The 19,784-nt window shown below is 39.3% G+C and overlaps 1 protein-coding gene across 13 annotated transcripts in view; it reads right to left on the reverse strand.

Moving 5' to 3' along the window:
- Positions 1–19,784, reverse strand: part of XPO4 (exportin 4) — a 125,446-nt gene that overhangs the window by 8,129 nt on the left and 97,533 nt on the right. For 11 of the 13 annotated variants that reach the window (XM_047430537.1, NM_022459.5, XM_024449394.2 and 8 more), the window contains 9 exons: positions 15,374–15,533; positions 14,699–14,868; positions 13,708–13,882; positions 11,307–11,600; positions 10,619–10,799; positions 5,005–5,123; positions 3,029–3,159; positions 2,024–2,141; positions 1,508–1,600 (listed from right to left, as the gene is read on the reverse strand). In XM_047430537.1, the coding sequence (XP_047286493.1) occupies positions 1,508–1,600; positions 2,024–2,141; positions 3,029–3,159; positions 5,005–5,123; positions 10,619–10,799; positions 11,307–11,600; positions 13,708–13,882; positions 14,699–14,868; positions 15,374–15,533 (1,441 nt within the window). Of the gene's footprint in view, positions 1–1,507; positions 1,601–2,023; positions 2,142–3,028; positions 3,160–5,004; positions 5,124–10,618; positions 10,800–11,306; positions 11,601–13,707; positions 13,883–14,698; positions 14,869–15,373; positions 15,534–19,784 lie in introns of those variants that run through there. The other 2 variants (NM_001372061.1, XM_047430541.1) reach the window with 2 other exon arrangements.

Here is a 19,784-nt window from a genome sequence, read left to right on the forward strand (position 1 = left end):
AGTTCAGGAGTTCGATACAAGCCTGGGCAACATGGTGAAACTCCGTCTCTACAAAAAATAAGCCAGGTGTGGTGGTGCACACCTGTAGTCCCAGCTACTTGGGGAGCTGAGGCGGGAGGATTGCTTGAGGCCAGGAGGCCGAGGCAGGAGTTAGCAGTAATTGCACCACTGCACTCCAGCCTGGGTAATAATAAAGTGAGACCCTGTCTCAGAAAAAAAAAAAAAGCGAGATAGTAGAGCCTCTGGGGCCAGGCAGCAAGTATCATACTGGCCATTCCTGAAACCTGCTCTTTCCTGCAGTGTGTAAATATGTTAAAAGAGAGGGAGAGAGAGAAATAAAGGAAGAGAAGGAAGGAAGGAAGAAAGGAAGGGAGGAAGAGACAAGAGGGTGGAAGGGAACGGGGGAGGAAAGGAGGGAGGGAGGGAGGGAGAAAGAAAGAAAGAGGAGGGAGGAAGGAAGGAAGAAAGGAAAGAAAAGAAAAATGAAAGAAAAAGATAGAAAAAAGAAAAGAAAAAGAGAGGAAGGAAGGAAGGAAGGAAGGAAGGAAGGAAGGAAGGATCAGACAAGACGACTACCTTGCTAGTAAGCAACAAGTAAGACAAATGACAGAGAAAGGGCACAGATTTGAGAGCAGGTACCACCTGCAGGAAGTGGCAGCCTAGGGCAGAGAGCAAGAAATGAAGCCCCAGGGCACCTTCAGCTTAGGGCACAGATGTTACGGGAAGTCTAGAGAAAGGAGGTCTTTAAATAGTATGGAAGACCTCCTCTAAACCCTTTTTTAAAGATGGAAATAAAACGCCAAAGCTTCTTGGCCATGCTGGGAGGTATATATATATATACGTGTGTGTGTATATATATATATATATATATGTACCTTACATATATATGTGTGTATATATATGCATGGGAGAGGAAAAGGGGAAACAGAGGCAGCAAACTGTTCAATACGGTCCTTTTCATAAATTTCACAGGCACCTATTCGATCAGAAGTGGGGAGACAGGTAAGCTAGCCTAACTCTTCTATTAACCCCATTATCAGTGATGCTTCAGAATCTTTAAAAGATCAACAAAATGAAATAATATACTGTTTTCTATAATATGCAATAAAATACTGTCTTCCATACTGTCTGAAGGCAGACTCTTCCTTGTCTGCCATCCTGTCTCCCTTACAAAAAACCATGAGTTCTTCACACACCCATTATGTATTCCTCATTCCTAGCACAGTTGTTTAAGGACAGGCTTTGGGGCAGTGACCATTGCAAAGGATGGTTCATAATGGTGGAGGACAAAAAATAAATGCTTTGAACTGACAAACAGCTGTCAGATAAACACAAACTGACATGTGAAAGCTAATAAAGAAGCTAAGAAATACTTCCTCACTGAAACAGAACTGAAGCACTGAGTCACAGATCCTATAAGGGGGGATTAATGACCCACCATCTATCTCAACAATCTCTTTGCAAAATAGAATGAGAAGAGTCCCCTGAAAAGAGGCATGTCCAGTACCTGGTGCAAACACACCAACGTGTAGAAAGCTTCGCCAGCCGCAGTGGTCATCTCTGTGTTGTGCTTTTGCAAAACCAGCATATCAAAAACCAGCTGAAATTACATAAGACTTCTAAATAAAAACATAGGATGATCATATATCCTCCAGTCCCTCCCCAGTCCAAAAAAGAAGAAGAGAGGGTTGGTTGTTATTCTATTTATTAAATCAATCTGAAATTTTCCTTAATGTTTTAAAAAAAATACCTTACAGATATTGCTACTTGCTGTGGTATCTGAATAATCAACAATATCAAATTCCCTCAATGTGTACCACATCAATTTCCAAGAACACAAAAAATAGAGGATGAGAATGTGTCCATGAAGAGCTGATCTCCAGAAAAAAACAGTGAACAGGAAGTCATGGTTTCCTTGCCCCCGAAAGAATGGAAGCATTTCCTCATTTGAATGCAGAATTATGTGCACCGACCACACTTTTGAAAGTAGCTGATTTTCTGACCTACCGCACAGACATCTTACCTTAAGAAAGTGCCGTGTTGCTAGAAAAAGTGGTGAGTCTGTTTCTTGTGCTTTTGCACACTGTTCAGCTAACGGTGTCAAGGCCTCCAGGCAAAGCTGGCAAACCTCCGAACTCATTCTGATCATGAAGGTCAAAGAACAAACTAGATTGGATATATTCGATTTATAAAAGATAAAAAAATTATAGCTAGTATTAAATGGATGAGTGTTTCTAGAAATGAATACAGATACACAAGTAGACTCATGGGCAATATCTTCACTGAGTTATATAAGGAAAGAAGATTTCCAGTGTTTTTCAGATTGCCTATAAGGTTTTTGGGTTTGAGCCTGGTGATGTATAGCTTGTTTCAGTTTACGATACATACAACTTATTAAAAAGTCATATTATTCTCTACAATCAGAGCTAAGACCAGAGACCCAGCTCAACATTACTAATGGGACCCTGATGAAGGGGTAACTTCTGGAACCAGGGACTGAATGCCTCAGAGATCTATGAAAGGAGGACAGGACGAGGCAAACTAACGAAAGAAACACAGAAATAGAGCAGTTACAGAGGTGACAGTTTTTTGTTTTTTTGTTTTTTTTTTTTTTTGAGATGGAGTTTCACTCTTGTTGCCCAGGCTGGAGTGCAATGGCGCAATCTCGGCTCACTGCCACCTCCGCCTCCCGGGTTCAAGCGATACTCCTGCCTCAGCCTCCCGAGTAGCTAGGATCACAGGCACCTGCCACCACGCCCAGCTAATTTTTTGTACTTTTATTAGAGACAGGGTTTCACTGTGTTGGCCAGGCTGGTCTCGAACTCCTGACCTCAGGTGATCCACCCGCCTCGGCCTCCCAAAGTGCTGGAATTACAGGTGTGAGCCACCGTGCCTGGCCCAGGGTTTTTTAAGAAATAAAATTGAACCATAAAAGAAAAATGAAAAATGTAAACTTAAAAAACTTTTCTTTAAAGGAAGATCTTTTTCCCCAAGTAACAAGTAACAGTGATGTTCATTTAAAGGATATGATGTCATTCCTAATTCTAGGGAGTACATCAGACTTTTAAACAGATCCTCAGGAAGCTGTGGTATTTTTTCAGGAAAAATCTCACAGATAAATGTGATTAATTTGTAGTACTGATTACAAAGGGTTGGAAACTGAAAAAGAAATATTCAATTATTTGGATGCTCATTAGTATCCAATTTCTATTTTCATCAATGCAATAAAATAAAGTAACTGACAAGCTTCTAAATATAATGATTTCTTTAAAACATGTACAAGATATAGAAAACATGAAGACCAAATTAAATGTAAAAACAGGTACAAATAAAGGGCATATTTTAGTAACTACTATGAAACAAAGTAACAGACAGTCAAAACAATTATCTTCTAGATAGTTAATAAAATCTAAGGTCAATTCCTGATATTCTGTGTTTACCCGGAAAAAGTAAACAAGGCAGCCAGATTTAAAATTATTAAATAACTTAGGAGTAAAACCTTTTTGTAAATGTATTTCCATTCAAGCATGCTGAAAAAATTCAAGAAGGTTAATACAAATTGTTAAGACTATGCACAGAGCAGAGTATTCGGTCTTTACACTTCCAAAAACATTTTTCCAGTTGTACTATCCTAGAGAACTGAGGTAAAAGTAAGTAATCTGGTTTAACCACACTTAAGAAAAATACACACTTAAATGTTTAATGGCTTATTTGTTTAAACAAACCCTAAATGCAAATCAATATGGAGAGTTGACTAAACTTCCTCATCCTGCTGGCTGGCTGCTGTGTGAATGCCATGGGTCATCAACATTGTTTCCAATAGTTAGAGACGCTCTCAAGGAGGGGGAAGCACACGGTTAGATCCTGCTATGCTGGCAATCAAACAGGACTCATTCTTCTCGTATGTACTCACCTTCTGGACACTTCTCAGCCTCTACTTTTTTTTTTTTTTTTTGAGACAGAGTCTCGCTCTGTCACCTAGGCTGCAGTGCAGTGGCACAATCTTGGCTCACTGCAAGCTCCGCCTCCCGGGTTCACGCCATTCTCCTGCCTCAGCCTCCTGAGTAGCTGGGACTACAGGCGCCCACCACCACACCCGGCTTTTTTTTTGTGTGTGTGTGTGTGTATTTTTAGTAGAGGCGGGGTTTCACCATGTTAGCCAGGATGGTCTCGATCTCCTGACTTCGTGATCCACCCACCTCGGCCTCCAAAAGTGCTGGGATTACAAGCGTGAGCCACTGCGCCCGGCCCAGCCTCTACTATCTTACTTCCTCCTACTCCTTGTCTTTATCTCGTGTGTGTGTGCACACGCATGCATGCATGCACATGTGCACATACACACACAAACTCCTCCTTTCCTTTCCACCCATGTCCTCATCCCCACCCTTATCCTGCTATGACAACTCATGACAAGAGACCTCCCTCTGTGGTACTTACGGATGGTAGAAAAAAGTTGCCTCACCGCCACCACACCCTCAATATTAACTGACAAAACCAAGGCATAATGTAGTCAGAATGTGCAAAAACTTTAAAACAGCATCAGTCTTGGAAGCATACCATCCCATTTTTACATGGTGCCCCTTGGAAAATGCCTTCCTTTGCTCAATCCCTTAACTTGAGAATGATGTTCAGAAAGTATCAGAGGAAAACACTGAAACTTTTAACTTACTTTATTCCCTTAGTGACAAATTATGAGGTAATCAAAACTGCTAACAGAATGTACTTTCTAAAAGGACAGGCTCCTTTCTGTAGCACTCCCTGACAAAACGAGTCACTAATGTATGGGTGCCTGCAGGACTTTGGGGCAGAAACAGAGACTAAGTAAGGGCCCATGTTACTGAGAAGCATGCACAAGTAACCGTTAATGAAAATACAAAAATTGTATCTTCATGTGCACTTAGCAGATACAACTACTAAATTAAATCACAGATATATTCTTGTCTAAAGTATCTTTGAACTTCAGTTACACATAGTGGTATGTTCACATTCAATTTCATTAATTACCTTCAAGAGATCCTGTGACATCAAGGGCAGAATTAGGTTTACTCCATACAACACAACATCCGCTGCTGACACAGATCTGTTTGCTGCTTGACCTGGCTCATGTCCTCTAAACACTTCATCTATTAAAATAAAAGGATGCAGGCTTATGGTGGTAACATCAATAAATCTTCCAAGTGTGTATTCTACCCTTATGAAAATAAACTCACCCCTAGAGGCTAAATAAATCAATGAGTGAATAATAAAGAATCTGACCTCGTCCTGCCTGGTCTCTGGTGAGGGGATGGAGGAGACAGCACATCCAGGGGTGAAAAAAAGATCTGAGACCCCAGCCCTGTGTCATCCTTTTGAGTTTTATTAGGGGATATGAGTACTTGATACAGAAGTATTGGGGAGGTTAAGAGCAGGGGACAGTCTAGAAATAAAACTAATGCTTAATCAATGTTTTGAAATATAAAATCTACTGGCATACTAGCCATAATGAGTTAAACAATTTCTATAGAAATATCCATTTGATTTCAAGTGTGTATAATATTTCTAAGCTTAAAAGGAATGCGAGAAATACAGAAATTAAAATGTTACATAAAAAAGAAAGTAGTTTAAAAAAGAACAACCAATATGACAAAGGGTTATCATTCTTAATACATATGAATTATATATATATATAAATTAATGAGAATACTAAGACCTAAACAGATAAATTAACATCTCTAAACAAACGTTTATCAAAGTCTGACTCTAAAGGAAAACAGTCCATTCCAACTATTAATCAAGCAATACAAATTTTAAAAAGATACTACTTCTGATTCATTACATTAAAAATAATTTGTAAAAATGATAACATTTCATTGCCAGTAAGGATGAAATGTGGTTAACCTCAAAAGCAATATATTAAGACCATTTTGAGAATTCTATCTATTAAGGATATAATCAGAAATTCAGACAGCCTTGTCCACAGAAATGATCACTGCATCACCATTTATAAGAGGAAAAAGGTAAACATTCCAGATGTCCAATATTAGGAAACAGGCTAAATTCCAAAATGTGGAATGCCACATAACCATTAAAAATATCATCACAGATTCTAATGACAAGGGAAAGGTTAACACTACATTAAACAAAACGACAGAATATAAAATTGAATTTAGTTCGCAGCTTGCCAGGAGTAAAAGCAAAATAAAAACAAACTTGTATTTAGAGCACGATCACAAAGAAAATTGGACAAAAATAACAAAAACAGAAATTCCTAAAATGCAATGTATAGTTGACTCTGGATGGTGTCCAAAAGTAAGCATGATTTTTCTGTCTCTATATTTACAATTTTTTTCTATTAAGGGCATATTTCTTATAACAACAAAAAGATCAAATGAGGGATATGTGTCTACTTAAAATCCACTTGTTAAGCCTAACGCTGAACTTCTCCCCTGGAATCTTTGTTCTGGTTGGAAGAATCTCCTGTGTTAAAGCAGGAGTCACCAAATGTTCCCTGCACATCATACTGGTAAGCCTGGATTCTACCCAAGGAACCCCAGCCTGCTCTGGAGCAGAAGGCTGGTACTAGAGCTTGACTCCCTGCTCCAGGTATCTGCCAAGAAGACACGTCTCTCAGAGCCGGCAAAGGCTGACCCATCATGGGCTCCAAGAGGGCTCAGTCTCTAACCATGTGCTCTGCTAAGGAGTCAAGAAAGCAGGTCGGATACCACGTTAAAGAATGTCAAGGCCAGGCGCAGTAATCCCAGCACTTCGGGAGGCTGAGGTGGGCAGATCCCCTGAGGCCAGGAGTTCGAGACCAGCCCGGCCAACATGGCAAAACCCCATCTCTACTAAAAATACAAAAAATTAGCCAGGCCTGGGCTGGGCACGGTGGCTCACTCCTGTAATCTCAGCACTCTGGGAGGGTGAGACAGGCGGATCACGAGGTCAGGAGTTTAAGACCAGCCTGGCCAACATAGTGAAACATAGTATCTGCTAAAAAAGGCGGGCACCTATAGTCCCAGGTACTTGGGAGGCTGAGGGAGGAAAATCACTTGAACCGAGGAGGCAGAGGTTGCAGTGAGCCAAGATGGCGCCACCGCAGTCCAGCCTGGGTGACAGAGCGAGACGCTGTCTCAAAAACAAACAAACAAATAAACAAACAAATTAGCCAGGCCTGGTGGCGGGTTCCTATAATCCCAGCTACTCGTAAGGCTGAGGTGGAGGCTGCTGTGAGCCAAGGTCGCGCCATTGCACTCCAGCCTGGGCAACAAAAGTAAAACTCTGTCTCACAAAAAAAAAAAAAAAAAAAAGTCAGATGCCAGTTTCCAGTTATGCTTTTATTATTTATTAATTATTATTAATATTTTTTGAGCTGGAGTTCCGCTCTTGTTGCCCAGGCTGGAGTGCAATGGCACAATCTCAGCTCACTGCAACCTCCTCTCTTCCCAGGTTCAAGCGATTCTCCTGCCTTAGCTTCCTGAGTAGCTGGGATTACAGGCATGCACCACCATGCCCGGCTAATTTTTTTGTATTTTTAGTAGAGACGGGGTTTCTCCATGTTGGCCTGGCTAGTCTCAAACTCTTGACCTTAGGTGATCCACCCGCCTCAGCCTCCCAAAGTGCTGGGATTACAGGCGTGAGCCACCACACCCGGCGCAGTTATGCTTTTAATATCTCACCTAGTCCATTAACTTTGTTTTACAATATTTAGAATATTTTATATTTTGTTTCAGCTATTATCTTTATTTTTAAATAAAATATTCTCTTCCTTTTTACCATCCATTTGCCTGATGTGCCAAAGATGTTTCCTTATAATTTTCTACTTTGCCTTCATTTTTGTTTCTTCTGAATTTCAACCCTACATACTCGTTTTATTCTTTTTACCCCTATTTTGTTTTGTCTAGCCTGAGCATTATAGCATCAATTTCTTTTCTTAACCTTATTATGACTTTAATCTTTTCGCTGCTTTTATTTTGAAAATCTCTCCTTCAAATGCTTAGCTTTATTGTTTGCTCTACAATTTGTTCTTAGAATGGCAGATGGGAGGAAGTGCAGCTGCACCATAAACCTGGGAGATTGTCTTCAAACACCTTAATAGCCCCCCTGCCCTTTCTTATTGACTGATTGACTGATTGATTGAAACAGAGTCTGGCTCTGTCACTCAGGCTGGAGTGCTGTAGCACAATCTCGGCTCACTGCAAGCTCCGCCTCCCTGGTTCACGCCATTCTCCTGCCTCAGCCTCCAGAGTAGCTGGGACTACAGGTGCCCACCACCACCATGCCTGGCTAATTTTTTATCCCCTGCCCTTTCAATGTAAATGATCTGAAACATTTCACCCTTAACCAAAGAAGACTCCCAGGTGAAAAAATATTCCAAAAATATTAATGGCTATCCCTTATTGTTGGTACAAGTCCTACTGGGTCCAGGGCAAGTCGTACAGAAATTATGTTACTCAAAGAAAAACTCAGGAAGGCTGTGCTGGGGGAGGATCCTCCATCTAGAGTCCAGTAAGGAAGCAGAGAGGCAGTTCTGATTTCCTAAAGGGGCCTTCAAGGTAGGAAGAAGATGGAAGATTCTAAAAACTGGCCACAGCTCCACAATCATTTCTCTAAATGTTTACTTCTATTATAATCCTTCCTTTTTTGATAGGATTATAGAATATTCTAGAAATGTGGACTGTCCCTTCTCCTTTCTCTTATTAACGCTGCCCAGCGCTGGGATCTACTGTAGTACTTAAGTAGGTAGGAAACACGATGGAATCACTATTTTAGGAAAATTATTCTGAAAATAAGACAAATCTGGTAGTATGTCAGAAACAACTAGGAAACTTAGTCAAAATATAGATTTCTAGAGTTAGTAGGTCTGCGATGGGGCCTGAGTGGGGGCATAGAATAAGAATCCAAGAAAATGATGATACTATTTCTAGAAATGAAAAAATTGAAACAATGAGCTGATTTATGATACACAGAGTAATCATGACAGTAAATCATCTAAACATATACATGTTTTAGCTCTGGGTCCTAACATTTAGTTACAGATTCCTCTGGGGACAAGATTCTTAACCTGGGTTCCTGACACACCTGGAAAATGTATAGAAGAGTTTCCAGGAGTCCATGAACCAACTAATACTGTATTAGTAAGAGGTTAAGAATGCTGGGCACAGTGGCTCACACCTGTAATCCCAGCACTCTGGGAGGTTAAGGTGGGAGAATAGTTTAAGCCTGAGGTTGAGGCTGCACAGAGCTGTGACCATGCGACTGCACTCTAGCCTGGATGACAGAGGGAGACCCTGCCTCTCAAACAACAACAAGGAAAGAAAGAAAAAGTTAAGAACTCCTGGATTAAGCAGAACTGACCTGAAGAAAGTTAGAAAACTTGGGTGAAAGGCTGGGCCTAAAAACAGACCAGAAAGAATTCACTGAGGAAAAGTGAATTTGTACAGTGCTTTTCAGACTATCTCACCTTGGTACCCCTAGTTAACTGCAAAAAAAATAAAGAGTAAACCTTCTACACTGTGAAGTTGATGGTACCTAGCTCAGGGCAGATATTGGAAAAACCGTTGCCCAAGAATTTAAAAAAAAAAAAAAAAGACATGGTCCAGTGAATAAGGAATACGAAAAAATTAAGGAAACAGAACAATCTCAAGGATTGGGATAAATAAGTCAAGTGGATATTATAGCACCCAACTTAGAAAGAGAATCTTACAAGGAAGAAGCCAAAAATGTCCACTACCACACGTGTCTGCACAACATATAATAGGAGAGGCTAGATATGATTCATTTTTCTGTCATGAAACAGGATCCATTTTGTTTGAAGTCAAGGTTGGCAGTGAGATAGGAGGGGAGTGAACTCTACAGCACTGAAAACTATACACATATATGAGGTTTAAATTACTGATCAGGTTCTTGCCTGTAACAGCAACTATCTTTTACCTACTGATTGTCAGACACAATGCTAGGCACCAAAGACACTTTACAGCTGATCCTTCAAACACACTGAAAGGTATTTATTATCATACCCATTTGACCAGCTAGTAAAGACACAGGTAGGCTAATCAACTCCCCTCACATCATACTGTAGGTGAGACACTAGGCTAGGTCTTCAAAGTGTGGGCTGTTAACTCCAGAGAGAGTGCTTCCTACACCAACAGGGCTTTCCAAGCCACACTCTGGAAAGTGCTAGGGTTTCTGGGGTGGCCACCGTGAGGAACATGGAGAAGTGATTAGTCAGGAAGTGTAACTCTGAAGAGACTGGCATCTGGAGTCACAGGCTGGGATTTGAATCCCAGTCCTGGCTAAGTATCTGTGGCCAAGTGACTTAAGCTCTCTGTGCTTCTGTTTCCTCATCTATAAAGTGAGAATAACAATGGGATTGACTTCATACCATTGTGAGAGGTAAGAACAGTGCATGGCATTTAGTAAGATCTCAATGAATGAGAGATACTATTTCTATTATTCTTACAAGAGGAAAGGCAAGCAGGAGGGCCACTGGTCCTCACCCTCACTTTGACCACAAAGATCTTCTTTCATTTATTCCATAAATTGAATTTCCTCATGAGATGTCTCTTACAGAAAACAATCCTTTGATTTAATAAAAAGGAGGATAACAACAAAGTTTAAAAACCATCACGTTACATTTTACCTGTATCACTGAAATCTATGAATTCTTTTGACAGCAGGTTAGTAAGAAGTTCCATAATGAGAAGCAGGTCTTGGTATTGCTCTTCTTCTGCTGTAACATCTATTCTTTGCCGCCCTAAATTATTCTTAGAATACACTTGCAACAAAGTAAGGCAGGCTTCATATAAGTTCATAGCTTTGGACTGAAAAAAAAAAAAATGCACAAATTATGCTACTTGGTACACTGACATTAAAAAAATTTTAAAATATAATCTATATAAATTAACTCCGAATTCCAACAGTAGCAATAATTCTTGCTTTAAACTACATTAAAACAATAATTTCTAGAAAGCATATATTAAGAGTATATTTTTTTTAATTTTACCCCTTTTCTAACAAAATTTTAGGACAAGAATTTATATTCAGGTGCAGCAAACCACCATGGCATACATATACCTATGTAACAAATCTGAACGTTCTGTATATGTATCCTGTTTCCTTTTAGAAGAAATTAAAAAAAAAATTTACATTCATTCAACATGACTTTCTCTAAATTATAAGTTCTTTTCAAAAATCTTTTTTAAAAATCTTTTGAAGGAATAAAAATATTATTTAAGATAATACTAATCAAATTTTAAGCAAAGATCTATTATTTTATTACAGCTTCAAAGAGTTTTAATCCTGAGGGGATAAAATTAGAAAGTGCTTACCTCTCCAAGATAGCATATCTGTTTATGTGCAACTTCAACAAAAACTTCTATAATGAGATTGACAGTCTCTGGGGTATTCTTGTAAACTTCCATCAATCCAATGCAATTGGTAAGGAAGTCCATTAAAAAATTAAACAGGATTGCTACGTTGTCAATCTGGGTAGCCTCAGCAATGCCACACAGGGCCTCTAGTGTGGCAGTGATTTCCTGCTTGACTTCCTCTTGCTGACACATCTGCTGGAAGTTTTCTTGGTTTATCACTCTTAAGAATCGCTGCTGAAGTGGCTGAAGAACCTATAAAAATAAACCAGGAATTTTCTTAAAGCTCAGTTCTCATGCTTTATTTCCTCTGCTTGGATACATATTCACTTTCCAAAACATTTCTAATTGTTGGAGGCAGGACAAGCACATAACAAAGAATATCTAAACCAGACTTTACACTCCCCATTTTGAGGGTCATCCTAACTTTCCGCTCATGTAAAGCCAGAACACCCAAAGCATGGGACATAACTGTCTCCCTGCCATTCAAAGAATTCTGCCATTTCCCTCCATCTCTTTCCAAGTAATGAGTCAAAAAGGAAAAAAAACTTTGTTTACAAAATCAGACAGTAAGCCACATTTGGCCCATGGGCTGCAGCTTGCCGACCTCTACAGAGTGAAGCCCAATTCAAAGTTCTTGTCTGTTTTTTTCCTTTTTCCTTTACCTAATTCCTCTTGGCACAGAACGTAACTTCAGATAATCAGTCCTGCCCTGTATATAAGAGTACTCATATTCAAGAGGACAGTATCTTAATTCGACTTTAAGTTGTCCATATGATAATACAATTGTTTAAAATAAAAATACTTAGTCAGTCTGGTTTCCCCTGGATTTGAAGTCACAAACAACTGCCTAATTCCATTACTGTGCCCCTTCTCAAACACTAAGGGCCCTCTAGACAAGGACTGCAGGCTGGCAACCTACACACACTGGCAACTCTTGGCCCTTGATTTAAAGCCTATTAAATAATGTGCCCATGGTTGTTGTTATGGGTCAAACTGTGTTCCTCAAAAACTCATATGTGGAAATCCAAACCCCAGGATATGAACTTATTTGATAATAGAGTTGGCCGGATGCAGTGGCTCACACCTGTAATCCCAACGTTTTGGAAGGCTGAGGTGGGCGGATCACTTGAGGTCAGGAGACCAGCCTGGCCAACATGGCAAAACCCCGTCTCTACTAAAAATACAAAAATTAGCCAGGCATGGTGGTGCGCACCTGTAATCCCACCTACTTAGGAGGCTGAGACAGGAGAGTCGCTTGACCCAGGAGGTGGAGGTTGCAGTGAGCCAAGATCACACCACTGCACTCCAGCCTGAGTGACAGAGCAAGACTCCGTCTCAAAAAAAAAGAAAATAGGGTTGTCATAGATGTAATTAGTTCAGATGAGGTCATACCGGAATAGGGTGGGCCCCTAGTTCAATATAACTGATATAGAAAGGGGAAGTGTGGATGCAGACACACACAGGGGGAGCATGTGAAGATGAAGGCAGGGATCAGGGTGATGCGTTTACAAATCAAGGAATGCCAAAGACTGCCAGCAAGCTACCAGAGGCTACAGATTTTCCCTCATAGCCTTCAGAAAGAACAAATCCCATGGACACCTTATAGCTTGGACTTCTAGCCTCCAGAAGTAGGAGAAAACAAATTTCTGTTGTGGTATTTTGTTAGAGCAGCCCTAGGAAATGAATATCATGGTTAATCTGCATCTTATTCAAGACAGGAGAATATTTCCCTGATCCCTAATGAAAATTTAATAAGCCAGTCCATGCTCTCGACTGAGTTGTGAAAAATGTGCCTAAAATGCAGAACACTTGATAATATTCAATGTCATCACACACAGGCAGGTACAGAAAAATTATAAGACAACATTTGTAAAATAAGAAGCTTCAACCCATTCATTAGGAGAAAAAATATCAGAAAAGCTATGACTGGGCCGGGCACAGTGGCTGGTCACATCTGTAATCCCAGCACTTTGGGAGGCCAAGGCGGGCAGATTGCTTGAGGCCAGGAGTTCGAGACCAGCCTGGCCAACATGGCAAAAGCCCGTCTCTACTAAAAAAAACAAAAATTAGCTGGGTATGGTGGCATGAGTCTGTAGTCCCAGCCACTTGGGAGGCTGAGGCAGGAGAATCGCTTGAACCTGGGAGGTAGAGGCTGCAATGAGCTGAGACTGCACCACTGTACTCCAGCCTGGGCAACAGAGTAAGACCCTATCTCAGAAAAAAAAAAAAAAGAAAGAAAGAAAGAAAGAAAAGCTATGACTGATACATTTATGTCTCCAGAGACTCTTACGGCAACGCATAGATAAAGGAACTACAGAGTTACACAAAAGGGTGCAATCAAAATAGACAGCACTGTTACCTCTGTCCAATACTGCTGTTTGGTTTCTGTGTCCATATGTGCAAAACCTCCTAAGACTAGAGCCTTCATCAATGTCCTCTGCACAGGACTTGACAAGAAATTAAGAGGTGGGCTTCGGCTTGCAAACTGCTTAGCTAAATTCCACCAGTTCTCACATTGAATTACTAAGTTTGCCCTACAGGTAGAAATAACAAAACATAAGATGTATTACTATGTATATACATACACACATACACATATACACACAAAGAAAACAAAAATAAAAAATAACTAGATTTAATTACTGTTAAAGCAAAGTACAGTAAACTTAGTATAGACTTTGAAGTCACAGGCTTACATTCAAATCCCACTAGTTGTCTGGTGATGTAAAATTTATTTAACCTCTATCAATCATCACTTCTCTATAATCTGCAAAATAGGAATAATAACAGTCTCCTGGGGCTGAGACTGATATAATGATTAAATGAGATACTACCTATGACATGCTTAGAAGAGTACATAGTAAATTATAAGAATTCAATAAACCAGACAATGACAATGGTAATAATAACAATGATACTCCTATACAGTAAGAACAACGAAAACATTTCTAGAATTGTTGTAGAAAGCACTAAAAATTTTACTTTCCAACATTAAATTTTAAATATCAGTATTTAATCTTTAAAATGGGGATGTCTAAAAATTCAAATGAGCATATTCCACATAAAAGTGTTTGCAACACGATAAATTACTAATGTGTTACTCATAGGGCTTTGATGCCAAATCCTGAAGGAGTCAATGTAATGCTCAATTATAAGATGGGAAAGCTCCATTTGCATTTGTAATAGTACTGTGACATAGTTTTTAAAACCCATTACTCCAAAAATGTAGGCTCTATCTGGAATTAGGACCGTGTAACCATTTGCCAGTTCAAAGGACTACACTAAGAAGTGAAAAAGAGTTTCTCACCCACACACATACACACACAGTCAGCCTCCAACAATGGGCTAACCTTTCTCTTCTTTCCACCAAAGTGACAAGGAGCTGCACAGTGTCATTTGCAAGGTCCTGCTCACTACTCCAGACTGAGAGGTTACTGATGACTTTTTGTAAGAGGTAGCCAATTATCCACTGAGAACCCTCTGTATCTGCTCCGAACGCTGTACTGAATGGCAGACTTATCTTAAGAGAGGAAACAAATTTTTTAAGGTAAGCAAGAAAGATCAACTCAAGAAAAAAAAAACAGAGAAAAATCGAACTGAAATTAGTATCTAATCTGAAGTAGTGCTTACTTCACATCAACTTTACACATGTACTCATTTCCACTGGTCAAAAAAAAAGACATCCTCAATCCACTCACATTTTCCAGTGTGATTTTCCCGTCAACTTCTATTATTCCCATAGTATTAAAAAATTAACATAGTATTAAACCAAATACAAAAAAGCATAATCTATTCCCAAATAATAATCTGTATCTTCAACAGCAGTTAAAATAAACGATATCAAGGGATGTGCTCAAAAACACATTAAAACAGCATTCCAGTCACATAATTCTCTTCCACACAGAAAATGTTAAACTGCTCTTAAACAGTTCTATTTTGATGAAAAACCACCAAGAAAAATGTTCCTGCTTCTATAACTGCTATCATCATAAATCCAAATGAAGTTTTAAGTTTTACATTCTGACCTGATCATACAGTTTTTCATCCACCAGGAGATAAGTCTTTGCCCAGCGTTTTAAAAACCAAACAATATCTTTGCCCATCTGGGGACTTAGTAGATGAGTGAGATCTGCTCTTATTGCTCGAGATTCAACTTCTGAAACTCTGAGAATGGCAGACAACAGCCTGTAGGTATAAAACAGAAGTCATTTATTCTTTTATTTATTTAGTTGCTGTCTAATCATATTTTTTTCCTTAAAAGTCCTTTTTTGTCTTTCAGTTCTCTGGATTTAGGTCAGGCTATACTTGAACATTTCATCTACAGAGTTTTAGACAACTGTCCCATATTATTTCTGATCTTTCACGAAGCAGGAGACAAGATAAGGAAAGGAAGAGTCAACACTAGAGATGTCCTTCTGCTGAAGTTGTAACCACATGTGTGAATATCAGCATTACTAGCTAAAGAGAATTTTCAGATTCAAAATTTTCAGATTTTCAGGAGAAATACATCAAATTAAATCTTCAGAGTACATGCCAAACTCTTTTAGCATGTACTACTTAGCATCACTACTTAAAACTACCCTGGTTAGTATAGTTTGTGTTTTTATATCATGGTCATGTTACAGTACAAGATCTGGGAATTATTTAGAAAGTTTTGAATATTGAGCCTTGTTTAAATCCAATATTTCCTAGTAAACTTGATTCTTCATGGTATTTTTAAATAAAACTCTTGCTAGAAAGATTACCTGTGTAAGTACACATATTGTCCTTTCCTACACTACATAATTCATATGGTCGTGTGGTGTCAATCACATAGCGTGACATGCAGACAAACAGAAATGTCTTTGTTGAGGAGGGCACATAATCAGAAGTGATATATATTTAACCTGACTTTAGCCAAAAGGCAAGGAAGCAAAGGAGGTAATGGAAAGACCCCATTACACACTAATGAATATCAGTGCTGAGAAAAGGATTCTAATCACTCAAATTCGGCTTATGCTCCTTTACTAGTGCTCTCAGGAAGCCTGAAATGATCTCATCATGAAATCATACACACGTGTTTCAGTTCTTTACCCCACTGGATGGCCCACTGTCACTGCCCTTATCTTCCTGCAGCCTCCCTGGGGTCACTGCCCTTCCTCTCTTCATCTAGCCATCTGCTTCCTCTTTCCCAGTCTTCATGGCAGCATCCTCTTCTCCTGAACTTCTTCTTTAAATCAGGAGGTTTTTAAGGTTCCACCCCAGAATCTCTTCTAATTTTTTTTCTTTTTTAGACAGAGTTGCTCTGTCACCCAGGCTGCAGTATGCCCAGACACAGTCACGGTCCACTGCAGCTTTAACTTTTTGGGTTCAAGTGATCCTCCTGCCTGAGTTTCCCAAGTAGCTGGGACTACAGGCACACACTACTACACCAGGCCGATTTAAAAAATTTTTGTAAAGACAGGGTTTCGTCATGTCACCCAGGCTGGTCTTGAACTCCTGAGCTCAAGCAATCCTCCCACCTTGGCCTCCCCAAGTGTTGGGATTACAGGCATAAACCACCATGCCCAACCTTCTTCACTGTCTGCACACTTCCTATACCACCAGTGCTCGTTTGAGTTTTTTAAAAAAATTTTTTAGGGGGTATATGAACAACAACAAAACAAACAAATAAAACCCCAACAATCTCCCAGTACAGTAATACATTTAAGTTGTAGATATGTCAAAATTCCTGGTAAGATTAAATCATTTTAAATATCTATTCCAGCCTAACAAAATTCAAAAGAAAATGGTTACATTAACACTTTAAATTTATGCACTGGAGTTTTATTATCACAATATTCTGATACCCACTATCACCCATTAAAAATATAAACAGATTTTCCTTATTTTTATTTCAATTTCATTTTCCCATAGAACATTATCCTAATATAATTTTTATGTTCCAGTATTTTGTTCATCATACTACATACTCTGATACAAATGTCTATATATTGAAAGATAACTTTTAAACATTTTCAATGACCATAAGACCATTAAGTGTTTAAAAATGTCTTCTGGATTATCATTATGATACTTAAAACTAGACAACTGAGCAAAACAATATAAATTTGAATAAATTATTAAACATGAATAAACACAAACATAAAATTGTATGCATCTCTTAATGTGATTAACTTAGTAGGGTTCTTTCCCCACTTAGTACACGTATCTTTGAATGAATATTACCTATTGCCAGATGAGCAAGTGGAGCATGATTTGATTCCTATTTTTCCTTTAATAGATATAAGTACTGAGAAAACTTCATATAAGTAGAACCTATTTTTAAAATCGCAGAGTACCCCAATTATTTGAATTTCTTCCAAGTTATACACCAAAAATCACAGAGATCTACCAACAAAAATTATTTTTAATCATCTCTTGGTTGATGTGATTAGGTCCTCTTGTTATTTAATGCAAAGGACTGAAACCTGCTAACTGTCCACTCACTAGTGACTCAGTCACTTAGTCAGTGCCACACTGTTTGCAACTGTCCCTCTCCTCTGTGGGGTTTTACACACCTGCCAATCCACATGTTCAGAGGTAGAAGTGAAAACTTTGGCCTTTCTTTTGTAAAGTGGAAGAAACATCAATGAAAGAACCACTCAGCCTGAGTCAGGCAGGTCCAGGGGAGGCACCCAGGGGCCTTTCTTCTACCTCAGAAATACCTCTCATAACCCAAGAACCTTTCTCCATCTTCACTCCCAAGACTACGTAGGAAAATGCTTCCTAACTTGCCTTGTCACCCTTTAAATTTATCACCCATGGAATAGTATCTCTAAAATATTTTGATCACTTCACTTCTCTGCTGTAAATCCTTGTCAGTATTTTTACTCCCACTTTATCAGCCCCACCCACAGCAACCTCCCTGCCTCTCCACCCTCATCCCCCCACCAAAGCTATCGCCCTGCCCTCCTGGGTCACACACCAGCCACACCTAAGTTCTTCTCACTTGAGCAGGGCTCTCTTACTGTCAGAGGCATCAAACCAGACTGACTCCATCTTGAGTGAGGGCTAGGAAAATGATGCTGGGACCTGACGGCTGCATTCCCAGAAAATCAGGCATTCCCTATTCTCTAGATGTTTACAGTTAAGGGAACAAATTAATAAGATTTACTAAACAGACCCAGACTTGGGAGTGTCCAGATATTCTGACATCTGGAGAACAAAGGCATTCCTAATTTTGCTTTAAAGATAGTAATATTGATTCTTGCAAAATACAGTAATTAAGAAAAGTAATCCTTTATCACAAACCCTTGTAGCAAAGCCCATCTCCCCATCTTTTTTATCATATATATACACTATATATACATACACTATATATATACACACAATATATATATACACACTATATACATACACTATATATATCTATATATATACACACATTATATATATATACACACACACATTATATATATATATACACACACACACATACACACAAGCATTGTGCCTATGGTGGACGTGTTCCTCCTATTTTCTTATTTCTTATTTTCAGGAACTTCCTGCTCTGTCTATGGAATAGCCATTCTTTTATTCCTTTACTTTCTTAATAAACTTGCTTTCACTTTACTCTATGGACTCGCCCTGAATTCTTTCTTGTGCAAGATCCAAGAACCCTCAGGGACCCCTTTCCTATAACATTGCTGCTTATGCTATTGTCACTGCCTAAAGTACTCTTGTTTCAAGAAGCCCCCTCTGGTTCTCCTCTGCCCGTAGATTAGGGGAACCAGGAGCTCCTATAACACCCTTACACACTTCTAACTGTATCCTCAGATGCTGGCACGCATAGGAGTTGAAATACAACTCATAAAAACACCAAAATATTTTTAAGTTGTTGATATTCCAAGATTAATACCCCATTCCTACTTCAATTCCTTAAAGCACTATATCTACAAATATATTTCAAACAGCACTCAGTTTCTCATATTTTCTAAGTCAATCCTAGATTACATTTGTATGTCATAAATCCAAAGTCAGCACAATAAATCAAACAGAGCTTTAACCTCTCACAACCTCCACTATAGGTCTGAGCCACCATCATCTTTCTCTTGGATTACTACAATTTGTCTCCTAACTGGTCTCCTGGCTTCCATCATTTACTCTCGGGTTTTTTTGCATTTTGTTTTTTTTTTTGAGACAGGGTCTTGCTGTGTCGCCCAGACTAGAGTGCAGTGGTGCAATCTCAGCTCACTGCAACCTCTGCCTCCGAGGTTCAAGCGATTATCATGCCTCAGCCTCCTGAGTAGCTGGGACTACAGGAGGCGAGCACCACCATGCCCGGCTAATTTTTTGTATTTAGTAGAGATGGGGTTTCAATATTGCCCAGTCTGGTCTTGAACTTCTGAGCTAAGGCAATCTGCCCACATTGGCCTCCCAAAGTGCTAGGATTACAGGTGTGAGCCACAGTGCCCA

This window comes from Homo sapiens, chromosome 13, assembly GCF_000001405.40.
Source record: "Homo sapiens chromosome 13, GRCh38.p14 Primary Assembly".
NCBI lineage: Eukaryota > Metazoa > Chordata > Mammalia > Primates > Hominidae > Homo > Homo sapiens.